Source organism: Homo sapiens, chromosome 9 (genome assembly GCF_000001405.40).
Source record: "Homo sapiens chromosome 9, GRCh38.p14 Primary Assembly".
Lineage (NCBI taxonomy): Eukaryota > Metazoa > Chordata > Mammalia > Primates > Hominidae > Homo > Homo sapiens.
In genome coordinates, this window is record NC_000009.12 from 133304013 (window position 1) to 133327960 (window position 23948).

Here is a 23948-nt window from a genome sequence, read left to right on the forward strand (position 1 = left end):
CCAGGAAAGTGCCGATCCCGGAGTAAGATTTGGGGGGCAGTTTCTGTGCTGGCCTCAAGCCCTCGGCTCACCCCTTCCCCAGCGGCAGAGCGAGGGCATCTGGTGCTCCAAGAAGAAGAGCTGGGCTAGGAGCTTAGTGTGTTCCCCACGTCACGGGGCCTCTTCCACCCCCTGGCTCATGGACCCCATGTTGGCTGCACTACAGAGGCCGGCCAGGCTTCCAGATGCCGGCAACTCCCCTCCCGGGACCAGCCTTCTGGAAGGGGGTGTTGAGCCCGTGAGGAGCTCCATGAGTGGGGAAGCAGGTGGGGACGGCCGTGTGCACAGCATTACTTTGGCAGCTGATGGGCGGGAGGACAGGTCCAGGCGGCCTCCAGGCACGTTCCTGTTTGTGTGACATTCACCGTGACATGCTGCATGCCGTGGCACACAGGGTCCTGTATTCAGATGAGCCAGGGCCTCGGAGGAACTCAGGCGGAGGAAAGAGCCGGAACACAAACACAGCGCGACCTTTCCCGGGAAGCAGCCCCTCCAGGAATGCGCCCCGGGCCCCCCTGCAGCGCCCTGGGCCCCCATGGCCAGGGGCAGATCCCCTCACTTCCACCATCCGTGACTCGGTTCAGTCCAGTTGAGCCCCAAAAGCCTCTGCTGAGCCCAGCCCGGAAGGGCGAGGGAGCCTCGGTGGCCAGAGAGGGCCGAGGCCTGTCAGGCTGACGGCTCCTTCGGGACAGGCACCCATCTGTGACGGGGACATGCAGGGACCACTGTGGCTGCCCTGGCCCAAGATGCCCCAGAAGCCAGGTGGGCAGGGCCCCTTCCTCCTCCAGGATGTGGGACTGGGCTGGGTTTTGAAGGATGGCAGCGGCCAGGTGGACTCAGGGCATGGACAGGGAAGGCCACGCAGGCCTAAAACACACAGACTCAGGTGGGCGGGAACTTCAAGGTCAAATCCCCGAGCCCTCGGAGGGGGACTCAGGAAATCAGTTGCTCAGTGGGGGGCAGAGTTTGGAGCCTTGGGGCAGGAGCCGTGTCCAGCAGAGGGGCTGCTGCCCGCCATGGCTGGCCTTGCCATTGGCTTTGGCCCCGGCCCCGGGGAAGTGCAAGGCGCAGGAGAGACACCACAAGGCCCTTGGGTGTCCTTCCTGCACCTTCCTTCGGTGGCAGGCGGGTGACGCATCTATGTCACTGCATCCACGTAAGATGCTCTGTTAGAAAAAAAACAAGAAGGAGGCCGGGCGTGGTGGCTCACGCCTGTAATCCCAGCACTGTGGGAGGCCGAGGCTGGCGGATCACAAGGTCAGGAGATTGAGACCATCTGGCTAACACGGAGAAACCCCGTCTCTACTAAAAATACAAACCAAAAAAAAATTAGCAGGGCATGGTGGCGGGTGCCTGCAGTCCCAGCTACTCAGGAGGCTGAGGCAGGAGAATGGTGTGAACCCGGGAGGCGGAGCTTGTAGTGAGCCGAGATCGTGCCACTGCACTCCAGCCTGGATGACAGAGCAAGACTCCGTCTCAAAAAAAAAATTATGAATCCAAATTAGATATGAAAATAAATATTTGAAGTGATAAAAAAACACACAAAGCTCACACATGAAAAAGCTGATAGGTGCACTAAACGTCATCAAATGGAAGCAAAAAACAAGATTTGATTAGTTACTCCCTGGCACACCTCTATCAAACTTATTTCTTCTATATCTCTTGGCTGCTACCCCTTGATTATTGCTTCCTATGAAAATAATTTTTCATAAATAGAATGGAAAGATAACTCCGCCTTCCTGCTGACGTGAGGTTCAGGTTGGTTTCTCATCATCGGTTGGGGGCTGAATGACACACGCGGCTGCCGTCATGATGTGTGTGTGGTGATGCTGCCACGGGCGTCACCCCGTAAGCAGCAGCTCCGATCAATTCTCCTTTGCGAGGTGACCACCAAAGGAGCGCAGAGCTGGCCGGGCATTCGTGCGTGTTCATGACCAAGAACTTTTCACAGAGAGAGAGAGGACTTCTGTCCTGACGAAGGGGCGCAGAGCTGGCCGGGGCATTCGTGCGTGTTCACGACCGAGAACTTTTCACAGAGAGAGAGAGGACTTCTGTCCTGATGAAGGAGCGCAGAGCTGGCCGGGGGCATTCGTACATGTTCATGACCGAGAACTTTTCACACAGAGAGAGGACTTCTGACCTGACAAAGGAGCGCAGAGCTGGCCGGGGCATTCGTGCGTGTTCACGACCGAGAACTTTTCACAGAGAGAGGACTTCTGTCCTGATAGACGTCGGTGAGGACTGAATCCCCACTTACAGGCGTGCACATCAGGGACTGATGGACATCGCTGAGGACCGATCCCAGCTTACAGGCGTGCACACTGGAGGCTCGGAAGAGCTGACTGTGACTCACTTCCGGCTTCCCCCCAGGACAAAACCTGCCTCTCCTTCCAGACTCGCTGACTTCCCTTCATGTCCCGCTGTGATGTGCAGTCCAGCATCCTTGGGTCATGACACCAGCTGCACTGGCACAGGGAATGAGAGAATATTCCTGAAAATGAAGACTACCGCGGAAGGCAGGAGCTTCTAAGCTAGAGTGACTGGCAGCTTCAACAGGCCCTGCTGCACCTGAACCAGCCCGGGGCCCCCCAGTGCCGCGGAAAGAGACAGCTGTGGCAGATTTCACAAACTCATGCCCAGGGGAGCTCCCGGCTTGCTCATGGCAAGGACCACACAGGGGCATCTTAGGGTCCGCGGGAGGCAGCGGAACTGTGGAGTCCCAGGGCACATTGTCTCCAGCTTCGCCAGCTGGGCCATTGCTCTCCAACGCCAGCACCCATGGGTACTTCCTGATGCACCTCATCCTACCCACGTTACTGTCAGAGTGAGGAATGCGCTCAGCCTCAGGCCCTGAGATTGTCCTCTCCTTACTCAGCTTCTCTTTCTGTCCTTGCAGCATCCGGTTCGCCTCTTCCCCCAACTGCCTTTTCGCATCCTCTGCCTTCTCTTCCCTGCAGTTGTCTGTGTCTACATCATTGGCAGGAGTTCCTCGTGCACTCTGCATGCTGAAACCGTGCAGATGGACACATGGCAGGGCTTTCCCTCCCGTCTGGCTTGCCTCCTGCCTCTGTTAAAGACATGACGTGACTCTTCAGCAGCTTTTGAACTTGCCTCTAGGTCACAAAGGGATTGTCTCATCGTTTCTACTACATATTTTTAAAGTTTTGCTTTTCATATGAATCCTTTTAATCTGTCCGGAATCAACTGTGTGCCGTGTGAGGTAGGAAAATAAATGGATATGTCCTTTTCGTACGGATAAAAGCTTCATTTATTCAATATTTTCCCCTCCAATGTTTTTGCTATGCCCCTTATTTTCCGATTCCATTTCCGGTCTGTTTCTGGACTCTCTCCTGTTCTGGTGATCCATCCATGCAGCCTCGTGACAACACCGCAGGCTTAACGACAGTGGCAAAGGATGCCGAGCTCCGCCGGCCGTGTGCCCCTGCTGCGCTTCCCTGAGGCACGTGAGCTTCTCTTTGGCCTCCATCTGCAGTGTCTGTCACCTCGCCTTTCCTAATGACGTTGAATTGCTGCTTTTCTCATTGTTTTCTTCATCAGTCTTGCCAGACGTCTACCCATTTTATTGTAGTTTCCTCTAAGAGCCAGTTTTGCGTTTGTGGGTTATCTCCAGTTTTTCTTTATTTTCTGGTCCACAGATTTCTCTTCTTTATTATTTCTGTCTTCAAATTTCTTTAGGATATGTGTTATTGCTTTTTTATTTGAATGTCTACTTTGTGTGTGTGTGTGTTTGTGTGTGTGTGTGTGTATGTGTGTGACAGAGTTTTGCTCTTGTTGTCCAGGCTGGAGTGCAATGGCATGATCTCGGCTCACTGCAACCTCTGCCTCCCAGGTTCAAGTGATTCTCCTGCCTCAGCCTCCTGAGTAGCTGAGATTATAGGCGCCCGCCACCTCGCCCAGCTAATTTTTGTATTTTTAGTAGAGACGGGTTTCACCATGCTGACCAGGCTGGTCTCAAACTCCTGACCTCATGATCTGCTCACCTCGGCCTCCCATAGTGCTGGGATTACAGGCATGAGCTACCACACCCGGACTAACTTACTTTTGTATTGTATAGTAATAGATGCATCTAATGCTGTAGACTTGAAGTTTATATTTCTTTTTATGTAACACTCTGTTCATTGTTGATTCTAGTTTTATTGCCTTGTAGCTAAAAAAGGCAGGCTCCACTGTGTGGGTTCTGTGAAATTCCCCATATTGCCTGGTATGTGGCCTATTCTTTAAACCACTCTATGGGTACTTTAAATATTCTATGTGTACTTAATTCTTAATTGTTCATTGTAACAATTATAACAATATAATTGTTTAGCTGTTGGAGCAGTGTCTTTGTACACTTTACAATTTTGGTTCCAAATCTTCAACGTTGGTGTGAACTTTTAAAATTCTTGGCCGGGCTCAGTGGCTCATGCCTGTAATCCCACCACTTTGGGAGGCTGAGGTGGGCGGATCACAAGATCAGGAGATCGAGACCAGCCTGACCAACATGGTGAAACCCTGTCTCTACTAAAAATACAAAAATTAGCCAGGCGTGGTGGCATGCACCTGTAATCCCAACTACTCAGGAGGCTGAGGCAGGAGAATTGCTTGAACCTGGGAGGTGGAGGTTGTGGTGAGCTGAGATCGCGCCATTGCACTCCAGCCTGGGCAACAAGAGTGAAACTCCAACTCAAAAAAAAAAAAAAAAAAAACAAAAGAAAAACCCTCTTGCTCTCTGCTTCTAACGGAGAAGTTCTGGCATCTTCCATTCTGACTGTGGATTTGACCCCTTTGTTCTTCAGTCTCTTTTGGCTTCCTGCATTTTGATGCAGTATGCCTTCAAATTCATGAACATTCGTCTTCTTGTGATTGTGCTTTTAATTGTTTTCATGTTGGCCCCCTTTCATCTATACTGATGAAAAATAAATCATGCTTTCATCTAACAGGCTTATTTGTTTATTTATTATTATTATTATTTTTGAGATGGAGTCTTGCTCTGTCACACAGGCTGGAGTGCAATGGTGTGATCTTGGCTCACTGCAACTTCCGCCTCCCAGGTTCAAGCGATTCTCCTGCCTCAGCCTGCTGAGTAGCTGGGATTACAGGTGCCCGCCACCAGACCTGGCTAATTTTTGTATTTTTAGGTGAGACGGGGTTTTGCCATGTTGGCCAGTCTGGCCTTGAACTCCTGACCTCAGGTGATCTGCCTGCCTCGGCCTCCCAAAGTGCAGGCATTGCGGGTGTGAGCCACCATTGCACCTGGTCCTTTATTTGTTTTGAAAATGTATTATCCCTGCCCACCCCGTTCCAGTTCCCTCTCACCATAGATCATTCTCCTGCACTTAACGGGCATCTTTTGTTCCTATGAACACCTGCATGTGGGCACATGTGTTTTGTGTGCATTTAGCACTCTTTAAATATCCACTAAAACAGAACCTTCCTCCCCCACCATTAAAGTCTGCACCAATCGTGTTTGTACAGCCAGCAGGTAGTTTGCTTTGCTGACATTGATCCCCCGCCCCCGGTCTGCTACAGAAGTGCTAAAATTCTCCCTTTCAAACTTCCTCTGATGGAAGCCAGTGAGTGGTAGAGGCTGTCCGTTGTTTTTTAACGTCTGAGATGTCTTTATTTTGCCTTCAATATTTTATGAAAGTTGTGCTGAGAATAGCATTCAAAGGTAAATGTTATTTTCCCTAGGTCTGTTAAAGACGTCACTCCACTGTCTCCCAGGAGGTAGCGTTGCTGTTGAGAAGTCTGCCGTCAGCTGACATCTGCATTTTTGGTAGGTACTGTGGCTCTTCTTTCTGGTCGTTTTGACTTTTTTCTCCTCTCCTGGATGATCTGCATGTCACTGTAATATTCTAGAAGTGGATTTCTCTTGGTTTGTAATTTAGATCTGGGATCTCATGTCTTTTCAATTCCAGAGAATTCTGAGCTATTATGTTGCTTTGTTGCCAATTTAAATATGTTTTTCTGGGGGGAGGAGCCAAGATGACCGAATAGGAACAGCTCCAGTCTATAGCTCCCAGCGTGAGCGACGCAGAAGACGGGTGATTTCTGCATTTCCATCTGAGGTACCGGGTTCATCTCACTAGGAAGTGCCAGACAGTGGGTGCAGGTCAGTGGGTGCGCGCACCGTGCACAAGGTGAAGCAGGGCGAGGCATTGCCTCACTGGGAAGCGCAAGAGTTCCCTTTCCTAGTGAAAGAAAGTGGTGACAGACGGCACCTGGAAAATCGGGTCACTCCCACCCGAATACTGCGCTTTTCCGACGGGCTTAAAAAACGGCGCACCAGGAGATTATATCCCCCACCTGGCTCGGAGGGTCCTACGCCCACGGAGTCTCGCTGATTGCTAGCACAGCAGTCTGAGATCAAACTGCAAGGCAGCAGCGACGCTGGGGAAGGGGCGCCCGCCATTGCCCAGGCTTGCTTAGGTAAACAAAACAGCCGGGAAGCTCGAACTGGGTGGAGCCCACCACAGCTCAAGGAGGCCTGCCTGCCTCTGTAGGCTCCACCTCTGGGGGCAGGGCACAGACAAACAAAAAGACAGCAGTAACCTCTGCAGACTTAAATGTCCCTGTCTGACAGCTTTGAAGAGAGCAGTGGTTCTCCCAGTACACAGCTGGAGATCTGAGAACGGGCAGACTGCCTCCTCAGGTGGGTCCCTGACCCCTGACCCCCGAGCAGCCTAACTGGGAGGCGCCCCCTAGCAGGGGCAGACTGACACCTCACACGGCCGGGTACTCCAACAGACCTGCAGCTGAGGGTCCTGTCTGTTAGAAGGAAAACTAACAAACAGGAAGGACATCCACACCAAAACCCCATCTATACGTCACCATCATCAAAGACCAAAAGTTGATAAAACCACAAAGATGGGGAAAAAACAGAGCAGAAAAACTGGAAACTGTAAAAAGCAGAGAGCCTCTCCTCCTCCAAAGGAAGCAGTTCCTCACCAGCAACAGAACAAAGCTGGACAGAAAATGACTTTGACGAGCTGAGAGAAGAAGCCTTCAGACGATCAAATTACTCCGAGCTACGGGAGGAAATTCAAACCAAAGGCAAAGAAGTTGAAAACTTTGAAAAAAATTTAGAAGAATGTATAACTAGAATAACCAATACAGAGAAGTGCTTAAAGGAGCTGATGGAGCTGAAAACCAAGGCTCGAGAACTACGTGAAGAATGCAGAAACCTCAGGAGCCGATGCGATCAACTGGAAGAAAGGGTATCAGTGATGGAAGATGAAATGAATGAAATGAAGCGAGAAGGGAAGTTTAGAGAAAAAAGAATAAAAAGAAACGAGCAAAGCCTCCAAGAAATATGGGACTATGTGAAAAGACCAAATCTACGTCTGACTGGTGTACCTGAAAGTGACGGGGAGAATGGAACCAAGTTGGAAAACACTCTGCAGGATATTATCCAGGAGAACTTCCCCAATCTAGCAAGGCAGGCCAACATTCAGATTCATGAAATACAGAGAACGCCACAAAGATACTTCTCGAGAAGAGCAACTCCAAGACACATAATTGTCAGATTCACCAAAGTTGAAATGAAGGAAAAAATGTTAAGGGCAGCCAGAGAGAAAGATCGGGTTACCCTCAAAAGGAGGCCCATCAGACTAACAGCAGATCTCTCGGCAGAAACTCTACAAGCCAGAAGAGAGTGGGGGCCAATATTCAACATTCTTAAAGAAAAGAATTTTCAATCCAGAATTTCATATCCAGCCAAACTAAGCTTCATAAGTGAAGGAGAAATAAAATACTTCACAGACAAGCAAATGCTGAGAGATTTTGTCACCACCAGGCCTGCCCTAAAAGAGCTCCTGAAGGAAGCGCTAAACATGGAAAGGAACAACCGGTACCAGCCGCTGCAAAACATGCCAAAATGTAAAGACCATCGAGACTAGGAAGAAACTGCATCAACTAACAAGCAAAATAACCAGCTAACATCATAATGACAGGATCAAATTCACACATAACAATATTAACTTTAAATTGTAAATGGACTAAATGCTCCAATTAAAAGACACAGACTGGCAAATTGGATAAAGAGTCAAGACCCATCAGTGTGCTGTATTCAGGAAACCCATCTCACGTGCAGAGACACACATAGGCTCAAAATAAAAGGATGGAGGAAGATCTACCAAGCAAATGGAAAACAAAAAAAGGCAGGGGTTGCAATCCTAGTCTCTGATAAAACAGACTTTAAACCAACAAAGATCAAAAGAGACAAAGAAGGCCATTACTTAACGGTAAAGGGATCAATTCAACAAGAAGACCTAACTATCCTAAATATATATGCACCCAATACAGGAGCACCCAGATTCATAAAGCAAGTCCTGAGTGACCTACAAAGAGACTTCGACTCCCACACATTAATAATGGGAGACTTTAACATCCCACTGTCAACATTAGACAGATCAACGAGACAGAAAGTCAACAAGGATACCCAGGAATTGAACTCAGCTCTGCACCAAGCGGACCTAATAGATAGCTACAGAACTCTCCACCCCAAATCAACAGAATATACATTTTTTTCAGCACCACACCACACCTATTCCAAAATTGACCACATACTTGGAAGTAAAGCTCTCCTCAGCAAATGTAAAAGAACAGAAATTATAACAAACTATCTCTCAGACCACAGTGCAATCAAACTAGAACTCAGGATTAAGAATCTCACTCAAAACTGCTCAACTACGTGGAAACTGAACAACCTGCTCCTGAATGACTACTGGGTACATAACAAAATGAAGGCAGAAATAAAGATGTTCTTTGAAACCAATGAGAACAAAGACACAACATACCACAATCTCTGGGATGCATTCAAAGCAGTGTGTAGAGGGAAATTTATAGCACTAAATGCCCACAAGAGAAAGCAGGAAAGATCCAAAATTGACACCCTAACATCACAATTAAAAGAACTAGAAAAGCAAGAGCAAACACATTCAAAAGCTAGCAGAAGGCAAGAAATAACTAAAATCAGAGCAGAACTGAAGGAAATAGAGACACAAAAAACCCTTCAAAAAATTAACGAATCCAGGAGCTGGGTTTTTGAAAGGATCAACAAAATTGATAGACCGCTAGCAAGACTAACAAAGAAAAAAAGCGAGAAGAATCAAATAGACGCAATAAAAAATGATAAAGGGGATATCACCACCGATCCTACAGAAATACAAACTACCATCAGAGAATACTACAAACACCTCTACGCAAATAAACTAGAAAATCTAGAAGAAACGGATAAATTCCTCGACACATACACTCTCCCAAGACTAAACCAGGAAGAAGTTGAATCTCTGAATAGACCAATAACAGGAGCTGAAATTGTGGCAATAATCAATAACTTACCAACCAAAAAGAGTCCAGGATCAGATGGATTCACAGCCGAATTCTACCAGAGGTACAAGGAGGAACTGGTACCATTCCTTCTGAAACTATTCCAATCAATAGAAAAAGAGGGAATCCTCCCTAACTCATTTTATGAGGCCAGCATCATCCTGATACCAAAGCCGGGCAGAGACACAACCAAAAAAGAGAATTTTAGACCAATATCCTTGATGAACATTGATGCAAAAATCCTCAATAAAATACTGGCAAACCAAATCCAGCAGCACATCAAAAAGCTTATCCACCATGATCAAGTGGGCTTCATCCCTGGGATGCAAGGCTGGTTCAATATATGCAAATCAATAAATGTAATCCAGCATATAAACAGAACCAAAGACAAAAACCACATGATTATCTCAATAGATGCAGAAAAGGCCTTTGACAAAATTCAACAACCCTTCATGCTAAAAACTCTCAATAAATTAGGTATTGATGGGACTTATCTCAAAATAATAAGAGCTATCTATGACGAACCCACAGCCAATATCATACTGAATGGGCAAAAACTGGAAGCATTCCCTTTGAAAACTGGCACAAGACAGGGATGCCCTCTCTCACCACTCCTATTCAACATAGTGTTGGAAGTTCTGGCCAGGGCAATTAGGCAGGAGAGGGAAATAAAGGGTATTCAATTAGGAAAAGAGGAAGTCAAATTGTCCCTGTTTGCAGATGACATGATTGTATATCTAGAAAACCCCATTGTCTCAGCCCAAAATCTCCTTAAGCTGATAAGCAACTTCGGCAAAGTCTCAGGATACAAAATCAATGTACAAAAATCACAAGCATTCTTAAACACCAACAACAGACAAACAGAGAGCCAAATCATGAGTGAACTCCCATTCACAATTGCTTCAAAGAGAATAAAATACCTAGGAATCCAACTTACAAGGGATGTGAAGGACCTCTTCAAGGAGAACTACAAACCACTGCTCAAGGAAATAAAAGAGGATACAAACAAATGGAAGAACATTCCATGCTCATGGGTAGGAAGAATCAATATCATGAAAATGGCCATACTGCCCAAGGTAATTTACAGATTCAATGCCATCCCCATCAAGCTACCAATGACTTTCTTCACAGAATTGGAAAAAACTACTTTAAAGTTCATATGGAACCAAAATAGAGCCTGCATCGCCAAGTCAATCCTAAGCCAAAAGAACAAAGCTGGAGGCATCACACTACCTGACCTCAAACTATACTACAAGGCTACAGTAACCAAAACAGCATGGTACTGGTACCAAAACAGAGATATAGATCAATGGAACAGAACAGAGCCCTCAGAAATAACGCAGCATATCTACAACTATCTGATCTTTGACAAACCTGAGAAAAACAAGCAATGGGGAAAGGATTCCCTATTTAATAAATGGTGCTGGGAAAACTGGCTAGCCATATGTAGAAAGCTGAAACTGGATCCCTTCCTTACACCTTATACAAAAATCAATTCAAGATGGATTAAAGACTTAAACATTAGACCTAAAACCATAAAAACCCTAGAAGAAAACCTAGGCATTACCATTCAGGACATAGGCATGGGCAAGGACTTCATGTCTAAAACACCAAAAGCAATGGCAACCAAAGCCAAAATTGACAAATGGGATCTAATTAAACTAAAGAGCTTCTGCACAGCAAAAGAAACTACCATCAGAGTGAACAGGCAACCTACAAAATGGGGGAAAATTTTCGCAACCTACTCATCTGACAAAGGGCTAATATCCAGAATCTACAATGAACTCAAACAAATTTACAAGAAAAAAACAAACAACCCCATCAAAAAGTTTGCAAAGGATATGAACAGACACTTCTCAAAAAAAGACATCTATGCAGCCAAAAAACACATGAAAAAATGCTCACCATCACTGGCCATCAGAGAAATGCAAATCAAAACCACAATGAGATACCATCTCACACCAGTTAGAATGGCAATCATTAAAAAGTCAGGAAACAACAGGTGCTGGAGAGGATGTGGAGAAATTGGAACACGTTTACACTGTTGGTGGGACTGTAAACTAGTTCAACCATTGGGGAAGTTAGTGTGGCGATTCCTCAGGGATCTAGAACTAGAAATATCATTTGACCCAGCCATCCCATTACTGGGTATATACCCAAAGGACTATAAATCATGCTGCTATAAAGACACATGCACACGTATGTTTATTGTGGCATTATTCACAATAGCAAAGACTTGGAACCAACCCAAATGTCCAACAATGATAGACTGGATTAAGAAAATGTGGCACATATACACCATGGAATACTATGCAGCCATAAAAAATGATGAGTTCATGTCCTTTGTAGGGACATGGATGAAATTGGAAATCATCATTCCAGTAAACTATCACAAGAACAAAAAAACAAACACCGCATATTCTCACTCATAGGTGGGAATTGAACAATGAGAACACATGGACACAGGAAGGGGAACATCACACTCTGGGGACTGTCGTGGGGTGGGGGGAGGGGGGAGGGTTAGCATTGGGAGATATACCTAATGCTAGATGACGAGTTAGTGGGTGCTGCACACCAGCATGGCACATGTATACATATGTAACTAACCTGCACATTGTGCCCATGTACCCTAAAACTTAAAGTATAATAATAATTTTTAAAAAATGTTTTTCTTTGGGAACTCCTATTCTGTTTATATCAGAGCCTCTCAATCTATTCTCCATATATGTTACCTTTGAGTGTGTGTACGTGTGCATTTGTATATGTGTGCATGTGTGTGTATGTGTGTGTATGCATGTGTGTGTATATGTGTGTGTGCGTGCATGTGTGTGTATTGTGTGTGTGTGTGTATGTGTGTGTGTGTTGTGTTTTTCAAAGCTGCTGCACTCTGGTTGGTTTCCTCCACTCCATTTTATTGCTAGATACAGGCTGGAGTCTCTGAATCTATTTGTAACACCTCAGTTTCTCTTTTGAATTTTTCTTTCTTCATTGACTATGTTAGTACTATCTTCCATGACACTAAGTCTCTTTTCTACTATGTCAAGTCTGGAATTTATCCTATCTATTGTGTTTTTTATTCACTCTACTCTTCATCTTCAAAATTTATAATTATTTCTACTTTCTCTCTCCTTATTTCTTTATATTCTGGCCACTTCTAATTTTATACTACTTTTTAAAAAAAAAGTCTGGTGTAAGTTCCTGTACCAATTGCTCATTTTTAGCCTGCCTTTCTTAGTGTGGTGTTTCCTTGGGTAATTTGGAAACTGGCCTTGCTTATTTCAAGGTGAGGATATTGTGTCTCTGCATTTCTGCCTTTCTCTGCCATCTTGTTGTCATTGTCCTCTGTCTAGCAGTGTTTTGTAGCCTCTGCTCCCATCCTGGGTCCCAGGCTTCTGCTCTGCAGTGATGCAGAGCATGTCACAGATAAAGTCATCCTTTCCGAGGACGGCTTGTCTCAGCTTCTGCCCTTGAGGCTGTGTTGATGTCCTCTTGCCTTCCTATGCCCACAGTGCTCCACTAAGTTATACGAAGTTACAGCTCTGGGATGTATCAAGGAGGGTTTCTCAGCCTCCTTTCTGGAGTCAGGGAAGACACACCCATCACTCCCAGGAGGTGGATCTAGGCCCTCTCTGCCTGCCTTGGGACTTGGAGCTGACAGGCCCCTGCCTCTGCCCCATCACCAGCCTGTGCTTCTCCTCCATTCCTTGTTTTATGTGAGTGTGTGTGTGTTTGTGCATGTGTGTGCATGTATATATGTACACACCTGCATACACACACACACACCTGTCTTGGTCTTCTGTCTGTCTGACCTATTGCTGCTCTGTGTGTGGAGCAGAGAGGGTCCTTACTGCACACCTTGCTCAGGACAGTGGACACCGTCCTTAAATGCACACGGTATCGTGTTCACACAGGAGGGTCCCTTTTTTTCCATGATGAATCTGAGGCCAAGTAACCTGCCCAGAGATGCAGGAAGCTCAGCCGAGCCCCAAGCCCACGACCCTCGGACTCCAACCCCAAACCCCCTTGACGGTGTGCACGTCAGCCCGTGTGGGATGGCTGGGGGGCGCCTGTTACTGCCGCACATGTCCCCAGGAGGCCTGCACGCCCTTCACTCCCTTCAGTTTCCTCCCAGGTGAAATCTGCAAACCCGCTCCTCTGGACCTGGTCCTGTCCGGATGATCCTCTGGAATTAACAAGCTGTTATTCACCAGCCTCCAGCAACAATGGCACGTTACCTGCTCCATTGCAGAACTGGCCGTGGTTTACATCCAGGAAGGGATTGGTCAGTCACCTGTGCCAGGTCCCCGGGGGATCCTGAGCCCAGCGGTATAAAGGGTGGCTGTGGGAGTGGCACACCCTCTCCCAGCCCCAGCAAGCAAACCGTCAGGCGGCCGTGGACTCAGATCCCGGAGATGAAGCCCCTGCTCCTGGCCGTCAGCCTCGGCCTCATTGCTGCCCTGCAGGCCCACCACCTCCTGGCCTCAGACGAGGAGATTCAGGATGTGAGGCTTGGATGGGAAGGGTGGGCTGGAGGGGGCAAGGGGCGAGGCTGAGACTGCTGGATGGAGACCACATCCCTCCCCCATCCAAGGAGACCCTCATTTTCGGGTTGGGCGTAAAAGCCCTGCCCTGAAAGATGGTGAGATGGGACAGCAGGAGTCTGGGCTGGGGGGACAGGGATGCAGAGGGGCAGAGCTGGGAAGGTGGGGGTCTGGCTGACTTCACTTCTCTCCTGGGGGTGAGGGCTCCTGTGGTCCTGGCCAACTTGTGGGGGCTGGAGCCACCTTCGGGTGGACCTGGCGAGGGTGCTGGGTGTTTTCTGGGTGGATTAGATTGGGGAATGTTCCCCGTCTCCAGCCTGTGGGGTGCGGTAGAGTCTGGGGGCTGCAGGCCAGGGAAGGGGGAGGCTCTGGAGCGGTCGGCCTGAGCCTGATAGAGAGGGGCCTTCTCCAGGTGTCAGGGACGTGGTATCTGAAGGCCATGACGGTGGACAGGGAGTTCCCTGAGATGAATCTGGAATCGGTGACACCCATGACCCTCACGACCCTGGAAGGGGGCAACCTGGAAGCCAAGGTCACCATGCTGTGAGTGTCTGCCAGCCGGCCGGCCAGCCTGCAACCTGGTCTAGGGCCTTCCCTTTCCCCACCCAGGAGAGCTCTGGTGCTGGGGAGGTGGGCAGACCTGCTGGGAGGCCTCTCTCAGCCCCTCCTACAAGGCTCGGCAACTGGCAGCCTTGAGGGCAAACTGTGCCACTGAAGAACCTCAGCTGGAGGGACCCTGAGGGGGCAAAGGCCCCGGATCAGACCCTGTGAGCTACCAGGGGCAGTGCTGGGTACCACCCACCTCCTCCTAGGACTGAGGAATGTGATCTGCGTGCTGAAGCCTTCTGCTGAGCTGGGGCAGAGGTTTCCGTCTCCACCACCCCCCATTCTCTCCGACCTTGTCAACACCCTCAGATGAAAGTCGAGAGCAAAGGGGCAGTGCTCAGCAAGATACACCTGACAGAGAACGCTCAATGATGCCAGCTGCTGTCATTATTGTGCTAATTAAATACAGAGTAATTCTGGAAGAAAGTGTAAAATAATAAAAATAATAGCCAGGTGTGATGGCTCAGATCTGTAATCTCAGCACTTTGGGAAGCCAAGGCAGGTGGATCACTTGACGTCAGGAGTTTGAGACCAGCCTGGCCAACATGGCAAAACCCCATCTCTACTAAAAATACAAAAACTAGCCAGGTGTGGTGGTGCACAGTTCTCCTGCCTGGTGGTTCACATGATTCTCCTGCTTCAGCCTCCCGAGTAGCTGGGATTACAGGCACACACCACCACACCCAGCTAATTTTTTGTATCTTTAGTAGAGATGGGGTTTCGCCATGTTGGCCAGGCTGGTCTTGAACTCCTGACCTCATGATCCACCCGCCTTGACTTCCCAAAGTGCTGGGATTACAGGCGTGAGCCACTGAGCCCAGCTGTAAGGTTCTTATACTAGATGAAGGTAGACTGTGATAAATTAAAGACATACTATAAACCCTAAAGCACCTGTTAAAGTCAACAAACAAACAAGAAAACAAAAGACTGTCAGTGAATAAGACAACAAATAAACTGAAAAGATTGTTTTAAAAACTAAATTCAAAAGAAGACCAGTAAGAGGGAAAGGGGCCTGGCGCAGTGGCTCACGCCTGTAATCCCAACACTTTGGGAGGCTGAGGTGGGCAGATCACTTTAGGTCAGGAGTTCAAGACCAGCCTCACCAAGATGGTGAAACCCTGTCTCTACCAAAAATACAAAAATTATCCAGGCATCGTGGCATGCACCTGTAGTCCCAGCCACTCAGGAGGCTGAGGCAGGAGAATCACTTAAGCCTGGGAGGCGGAGGTTGCAGTGAGCCGAGACTGTGCCACTGCACTCCAGCCTGGGCGACAGAGTGAGACTCTGTCTCAAAAAGAAAAGAAAGAAAAAAAAATCCATGGCAGACAGAGGCCCTGCAGTGGGATCGGGGTGAAAGTCCAGCATCTGTGACCTCAGACGTGTCACATCCTTGCTCATCACAGCTTCAGCATCGATCACACTGGCATTCATTCATTCAAGAGACATTTGCTGGCTGGGCGCAGAGGCTCACACCTGTAATCCCAGCACTTTGGGAGGCCAAGACCAGTGGATCACCTGAAGTCAGGAGTTCAAGACCAGCCTGCCCAACATGGTGAAACCCTGTCTCTACTAAAAATACAAAAATGTTAGCTGGGCGTGGTGTCAGGCACCTGTAATCCCAGCTACTCGGGAGGCTGAGGCAGGAGAATCACTTGATCCTGGGAGGTGGAGGTTGCAGTGAGCCAAGATAGCACCATTGCACTCCAGCCTGGGCAACGAGAGCGAAACTCTGTCTTAAAAAAAAAAAAGAGAGAGAGAGAATTGCTGAACGCCCACTAAGTGCCAGGCACCATTCTGGTTGCGGCCTCATTGCTGAATAATGCGGGCAGAAACCCCAACTCCGTGGAGTGCCTGCTTGGTGAGAAGACTCCCTTGTAGAACTCTGTGAGGGTCAGAGACGATGGATGGGAGGTCCTGCCAGGAGGAGGCGCTCAGGAAGTTTCTTCGCTGCTCCTCCCCACTCCTTCACTCCTTTCTTGTTGCTCCTCTTTCAGGCCTGGGTGTTTGGGGAGCTTCATTCTCTCATTCCACAGATATGCCTGCAGTGCCCCGCCTGGCCTGTGCTGAGCCTGGTCCAGGTTTGTTGAATGCAGACGTGCTCAGAGAGGTCATTCCGGCTGCTGGTCACTGGGAACTCCGTTGCATCTGCCTCGGGCCCAGGTGCCCCCCTTTCACTGGAGCATCAGCGAAGAGCAGTCACCCCCCTCCCCGCCCTGGGTATGGCAGGCCCAGGCTGCAGAGCTTTCTTCGTGAAAAAGGAGCTAAACATGATCAAGATCTTGCCACGGCCCAGGCAGGAGTCTCACCACACTGCTGGTGTCATCTCATGAGACTGCACAACAAACCTTCGCAGCAGGTCCCCGAGTGTACCCTTTCACAGCTATGGACAGGACCCAAAAGTCTGAGTCGAGCGTGTGTGTCACTACCCTGTATGTGGATTCACAGCCTCTGGCTATCTTAGAAGGTCCTTCCCCCATGGCCTGGCTCTGCCCGTGAACCGTTGAATGTCTCTGCTCCCTTTGCCACTTCCGCCTTCCTGATACTGGGGAACCAGGTCATCTCTCTACTCTTTCCTGGAATCTTCTCTTTTCCAAGGATCATGGTGACTGAGAAACTGAGGAGCTGCACAGGCCCAAGACAAGCCCTCTCCCACCAGCCCACAAATGTACTGCCCATGGGCCGGGCATGGTGGCTCATGCCTATAATCCCAGCACTTTGGGAGGCCGAGGCGGGCGGATCACCTGAGGTCAGGAGTTCGAGACCAGCCTGGCCAACATGGTGAAACCCCATCTCTACTAAAAATATAAAAATTAGCCGGGTGTGGTGGTGTGCACCTGTAATAGCCACTCAGGAGGCTGAGGCAGGAGCATCGCTTGCACCTGGGAGACAGAGGTTGCAGTGAGCTGAGATCGCACCACTGCACTCCATTCTGGGTGACAGAACAAGAGTCCATTTCAAAAAAATAAAAAATGTACTGTCCATGTTTACTGATGACTTTATGTAGTTAGTGGATCCTGCCAGCACAGCCACAGTTCCTGCTGATCTCTGTCCCGCAGTTGACCACCCCGTCTGTGTTTTTGCCCCAGCCTGTATTGCTGGGCTTGAGTCTTCTGTCCTCACGACCCTCACCGGGGACTCAGACACAGCCCTTCTGCTCTGGGGACATGTCAGTCCTTGGCCTGAGCGTCCAGGCTCTGCGCGGCCCCGTTGTCCTTACAGGGACTCCGTCCCTGGGGAAACTTCCCACGTGTCAGAACCTTCCCTTCCTTTGTTTGAGAAAACAAAAAATTCTTCCTCTCTTGACCAGGAGCAGTGGCTCACGCTGGTAATCCCAGCACTTTGGGAGGCCGAGACAGGAGAATTGCTTGAGGCCAGGAGTTCAAGACCAACATAGCAAGATCCCATCTGTTTATAGATCTATATCTATGTATCATCTCTCTATATAGTACATGTAATATGTATATAATATATAATAATCATATATATAATTCTTCCTTTTTTGCGGGGGGAGGGGGTTGGAGTCTCACTCTGTCACCCAGGCTGGAGTGCAGTGGCATGATCTAGGCTCACTGCAACCTCCCCGTCCTGGTTCAAGCGATTCTCCTGTCTCAGCCTCCCAAGTAGCTGGAACTACAGGCATGTGCCACCGCATCTGGCTAATTTTTGTATCTTTTTTTTTTTTTTTTTTTTGAGATGGAGTTTCACTCTGTCGCCCAGGCTGGAGTGCAATGGTGGGATCTCAGCTCACTGCAACTTCCGCCTCCCTGGTTCAAGTGATTCTCCTGCCTCAGTCTCCCAAGCAGCAGGGATTAGGCGCCTGCCACCACACCTGGCTAATTTTTTGTATTTTCAGTAGAGATGGGGTTTCACCATGTTAGCCAGGCTGGTCTTGAACTCCTGACCTCAGGTGATCCGCCCGCCTCGGCCTCCCCAAGTGTTGGGATTACAGGCGTGAGCCACTGTGCCTGGCCAATTCTTCCTTTCTTGAATGCCCTTTTCTGCCATCCTAATTTTCCCATCGTTCAGGGTCAAGGTTGATGCTCACCTTCCCCAGTAAGCCCTCCCTGATGTCTTCCCAATTCCTGTGGGGTAAGCAGGGCAGCTCAGTGGCTGAAGGCACATGCGTCACAGCCAGGAAGCCCTGGTTTTCGCTCTGACCCCACTGCTTCTGGCTGACCCTGGAGAAGCCATCCACGCTGAGCTGCAGAAGGGCCACTACAGCCTGTGTGCAGCCCTCACAAGGCGTATACGGGAATTACTGCAGCGATACGGGGGATTCCTCGAGGAGCTCACTGAGCATGCAGGTGTTACACCCCAGAGCGCGCTGAAATCATTCAAATGAGCCAAGCCTAAGCCTCCCTACCGCCTCGCCCACCCCCTCCCATGGAAACCACATTACGGGCTTCACCCACAGTTCTGCCCTCTCCTGCCTCCTGACCGACTCCAGCACTTCCCCGTGTGGCCCTGTGTGGCTTGGGGTACCCCTTCTCCTGGAAACTGTCGTAAACTATCCTTTCAATGGCAATTATCTCCTGATCTGGTGGCCTTACTGAACCTCAAATTTTCAATAAATACGTTGTTTTTTAAGCCAGGCTTAATAGCATGCACTTGTGGTCTCAGCTACTTGGGAGGCTGAGGTGGGAGGATCGCTTGAGGCCAGGAGTTTGTGGCCGCAGTGCAGTATAATTGCACCTGTGAAGAGCCACTGCACTCCAGCCTGGGCAACGCAGGGAGACCCTGTGTCCAAAAAATAATTATTATATTTTAAAGACAAGCAGACTATGCATGGAGTCCCGAGGGTGAACAGGTGTCGGGGGGCAGCGGGAGCGTGGAGAAAGCCGGGAGGAGGTGGGAACAGGAAACCCTCAGGGTCACACCCCAGAAGGAGAAGGCCCTAGCCTGAATGGGACTGCTGGGAAGGGGCTGAACACCAGCAGGGAGTGGAGCTGCGGAAACACACACGGAAGTGGGGCATGGGTGCTGGGTGGACACTCCACTTCCAGATAAGAGGGGATCTTGTGGATGGTGGTGGAGGCGCTCCTGGCCCTACTGGGCTCCGGCACTCAGCCTGCCCTGCCACAGAGGCAGCCCATACTAGAGGCTACTGCACGTCAGGAGAGGGGCAGGCTCAAAACCAGAAAAGTTATACTCTGGGCTCTGCCAGCCCCACCCTCCCAATCCAGGAAACCCAATTCATCCAAATATGAGTATCAATATCCACCCAAAGATACCAGAGGGAAAAAAGAAACCTAAAAGGAGCGGGTGGCCAGTGCAGTGCTCACTCCTGAATCCCAGCACTTTGGGAGGCTGAGGCGGGAGGATCGCTTAAGCCCAGGAGGTCAAGACTGCAGTGAGTTGTGACTATGTCACTGCACTCCAGCCCAGGCAACAAAGCAAGACCCTGTCTCAAAAACAAACAAACAAAAAGGGAACAGCAAGACTTCCCTGCAGATGAAGAAAACACAGAGAAAACCACTGCCACAAAGCCAAGTGAAAGTGGCAAGCCAGCGGGCAGCCCCATGATGCAGCTGGGGAAGTGGCCAGGGGAGTGGCTGCAGCGGAAATGGCCATGGGGAACTCTGCGGCCCCAGGAAGAACAGGTGGACAGGTGCTGGTGGAACTTAGGAAGGACTGGAAGCAAAGGCCACAGACACAAGTCTAGAGATGCTGTGGAAAGTGCAGCCAGGAAGAAACAGGGACGTGAAGAGGCACAACAGCAGCAGAGCAAGCAGGCAGGAGAGGCGGTGGCGGGGGAGGCAGCAGCAGGGGAAGCAGCGGTGGGGAGGCAGCAGCAGGCAGGTCCTTGGCTGGCAGGGCAGAGCCAAGACAGGACAGACTCCAAGGTAGAAGTCCAGACAACTTTGCTAAAACAAACGAATTGAGGCGGAGCATTACTGCTGAGCTTTGCCTCCTGTCAGATCAGCGGTGGCATTAGATCTTCATAGAAGTGCAAACCCTACTGTGAACTGCGCATGCGAGGGATCTAGGTTGCTCACTCCTAATGAAAATCTAATGCCTGATGATCTGAAGTGGCACAGTTTCATCCCCAAACCATCCCTCCCACCACCCCTACTGTCCATGGAAAAATTGTCTTCCAAGAAACCAGTCACTGGGGCAAAAAATGTTGGTCAAAAGTACCGCTGTACTAGAGTGAATTTTAGTTAACTGAGAGATGATCACAGATAGTAAGAGGAACAGGGAGTGAGCACTCACATATTCAACTAGAGGACAGGGACCGAGATAAAAACAGCAGCAAGTTGTGATGGGTACGTACGGTGTGTTCCCTGCCAAATCCACACACTGATGTCTTAACCCCAAGCACCACAGAACGTGACCTTGTTTGGAAATGGTGTCACTGCAAATGTTATTAGTTAAGATGAGGTCACTAAGGTGGGCTCTAATCCAATGTGACTGGTGTCCTTATTATAAGAAGAGGCAATCAGGACCCACAGACAGGCACAGGGGGAAGATGAGAGGATGCTGTTTGCAGGCCAAGGACAGCACCCAGGAACAGCCTTCACTCAGGGTCCTCAGAAGAAACCAACCCTGCTGATGTCTGGACTGGACCCCTGCCCTCCAGAGCTGTGAACAATGAATTCCTCTCACCTAAGCTGCTCTGCGGTGCTTTGTTAATGGCAGCCCTAGCAAACTCATACACAAAGGTAACAGAATGTGTAAAAAAACAATTTTACAAAGGCAGCTATAACAGTATGAGACAAGAAAGCAGAGAGAGGATGGAAAATAGAATCGCCCTGCTGATTCCTTCATATTATAGTTGGATTCTAAAGACATCACTTAATGCTGACAAACTGAGAAGTTTAGCATATTAAAGAGGACAGAGGCAAATACTAAGAAATATAATAGTATTCATTCAAAAAATGGGTGGGCCGGGCATGGTGGCTCACACCTGTAATCCCAGCACTTTGGGAGGCCGAGGCAGGTGGATCACCTGAGGTCAGGAGTTCGAGACCAGCCTGGCCAACATGGTGAAATCCATCTCTACTAAAAATACAAAAATTAGCCAGGCTTGGTGGCGCGCATCTGTAATCCCAGCTACTAGGGAGGCTGGAGCAGGAGAATCGCCTGAACCTGGGAGGTAGAGGTTGCAGTGAGCTGAGATGGCGCCATTCCACTCCAGCCTGGGTGACAGAGCGAGGCCTGTCTCAAAAAAAAAAACAAAAAAAACCATGGGTGGTAGAAAAGAGAGAGAAGGGAGAGAGGGGAAAGGTTTACAAATTATTTCATAGTAGGGAACTATGAGAACTCTTTTAAAGGTTGAGGGGACTAAAGATATTATTTAAGGGTATGAACAGTAAGTAGCAACTAGACCCAAAAAAAATCAAGCCTTCCTAAAAACCAGAAGAGCTACATTTTTTAAGAGCAAATGCAGATTAAGTAATGACTATATGTAGTAAATGTGAAATAAAACAATTTCAAAAAGAACAAAGTTGGAAGACTCATGCTACCCGATTTCAACACTTACTATAGAGCTGCAGTGATTAAGACGGTGTGGCGCTGGCGAAAGGTTCAGGGGAACAGAACACACAGTTTAGAAATAGACCTACACAGATTTATGGCCAATTGATTTCAGATGAAGGTACAAGGGCAATTCTACGAAGACAGTCTTTTCAGCAACTGGTCCTGGAACACTGGACATCTTTATGCAAAAACGAACCTTCAAAATGGTTATGCCATTTTATTTATTTATTTATTTACTATTTTTTGAGATGGAGTCTTGCTCTGTCTTCCAGGCTGGAGTGCAGTGGCGACAGCTCGGCTCACTGCAACCTCCGTTTCCCAGGTTCAAGTGATTCTCCTGTCTCAGCCTCCCAAGTAGCTGGGATTACAGGCACCTGCCACCACGCCCGGCTAATTTTTATATTTTTAGTAGAGATGGATTTCACCATCTTGGTCGGGCTGGTCTTGAACTCCTGAGCTCAAGTGATCCACCTGCCTCGGCCTCCCAAAGTGCTGGGATTACAGGAGTGAGGCACCACGCCCGGCCACAAGTCCTTTATTATACTGTATGTTTTACAAATATTTTCTCCCACTGTGAGCCTTTTTATCTGTTTTCCTAATTTTTAATTTTTGATGAAGTGCAATAATTGACAGAATGAATAGATAGAAAATTGGCACCAGGTGCAGTGGCTCACGCCTGTAATCCCAGCACTTTGGGAGGCCGAGGAAGGCAGATCACCTGAGGTCGGGAGTTCGAGACCAGCCTGACCAACATGGAGAAACCCCATCTCTATTAAAAATACAAAATTAGCCGGGCATGGTGGCGCATGCCTGTAATCTCAGCTACTCAGGAGGCTGACAGGAGAACTGCTTGAACCCAGGAGACAGAGGTTGCAGTGAGCCAAGACCGCGCCATTGCACTCCAGCCTGGGCAACAAGAGCAAAACTCTGTCTCAAGAAAAAAAAAAGAAAGAAAGAAAGAAAAAAGAAAAGAAAATTGGCAAGGATACAGAACTTGAACTCCACTGGACCTGACATTAAAACACTTGACTCAACAAGAGCAGAAAACATTCTTCTCGAGCACACACAGAACATTTACCAGGAGAGACCACAGTCTGGGCTATGAAACAAACCCTGTTAACTTCAAAAAGATTCAAGTGGTTTTTTGTTGTTTTTTGATACACGGTCTCACTCTGTTGCCCAGGCTGGAGTGCAGTGGCAGGAACATGGCTCACTGCAGCCTCAACCTCCTGGGCTCAAGTGATCCTCCCACCTCAGCTTTCTGAGTAGCTGGGACTATAGGCATAGGCGTGGGCAACCGCCCCAGGGTGATTTTTTAAATTTTTTTGTAGAGACAGGGTCTCGCTGCATTGCCCAGGCTGACCTCAATCTCCTGGGCTCAAATGATCCTCCTGCCTCAGCCTCCCAGTATCGGGATTACAGGTGTGAGCCACCACGCCCCAGCCAAGGACTCAAGTTATACAAAGTATGTTCTCTGACCACAATGAAATTCAACTAGAAATCAGTAACAGAAAGATCTCTGGTAAATTCCCAAATATTTGGAAACTAAATGACATACCTTTAAATAACTCATTAGCCAAAGAATAAATCAAAGGGAAATTAGCAAGTATTTTGAACTGAATGAAAACACAACATATGAAAATTCGTCAGGTATCACAAAAGCAGACTGAACTTTTTAGACCTTACAAATGCATGACTGTCCCCCTTGCCTCTGATCTTCTGCCTGGGGTCTGCCTTTCCCCAATCTTTGTTCACTATACTGAATCCTACATGACACAGTCAACCTATGAAGAAATCCAGAGATAGACTCTCTAAAATAAATGGATTTGGGAATAGCAGCTTATCTGGAATACTGCAACCGTTGAGGATGGTCTTGCAGTGAGTCCTGTTATTGGTCTGTTTGTAGAAATGTCTTGTGGTAAGTCCTGTTGCAGGAATGTGTGCGTGAGGGCT

General features: G+C 48.5%; 1 pseudogene, besides 1 other annotated feature; it reads left to right on the plus strand.

Annotated features, from left to right (window-relative positions):
• Positions 224–912: an enhancer, noted in NCBI's record as "H3K27ac-H3K4me1 hESC enhancer chr9:136179717-136180405 (GRCh37/hg19 assembly coordinates)". NCBI's record gives its function as "activates a minimal SCP1, AML or CMV promoter by ChIP-STARR-seq in naive H9 embryonic stem cells {active_cell/tissue: H9 hESC(naive)}" and the evidence as "EXISTENCE:reporter gene assay evidence [ECO:0000049][PMID:30033119]".
• LCN1P2 (lipocalin 1 pseudogene 2) lies at positions 13726–14468 on the plus strand (annotated as a pseudogene).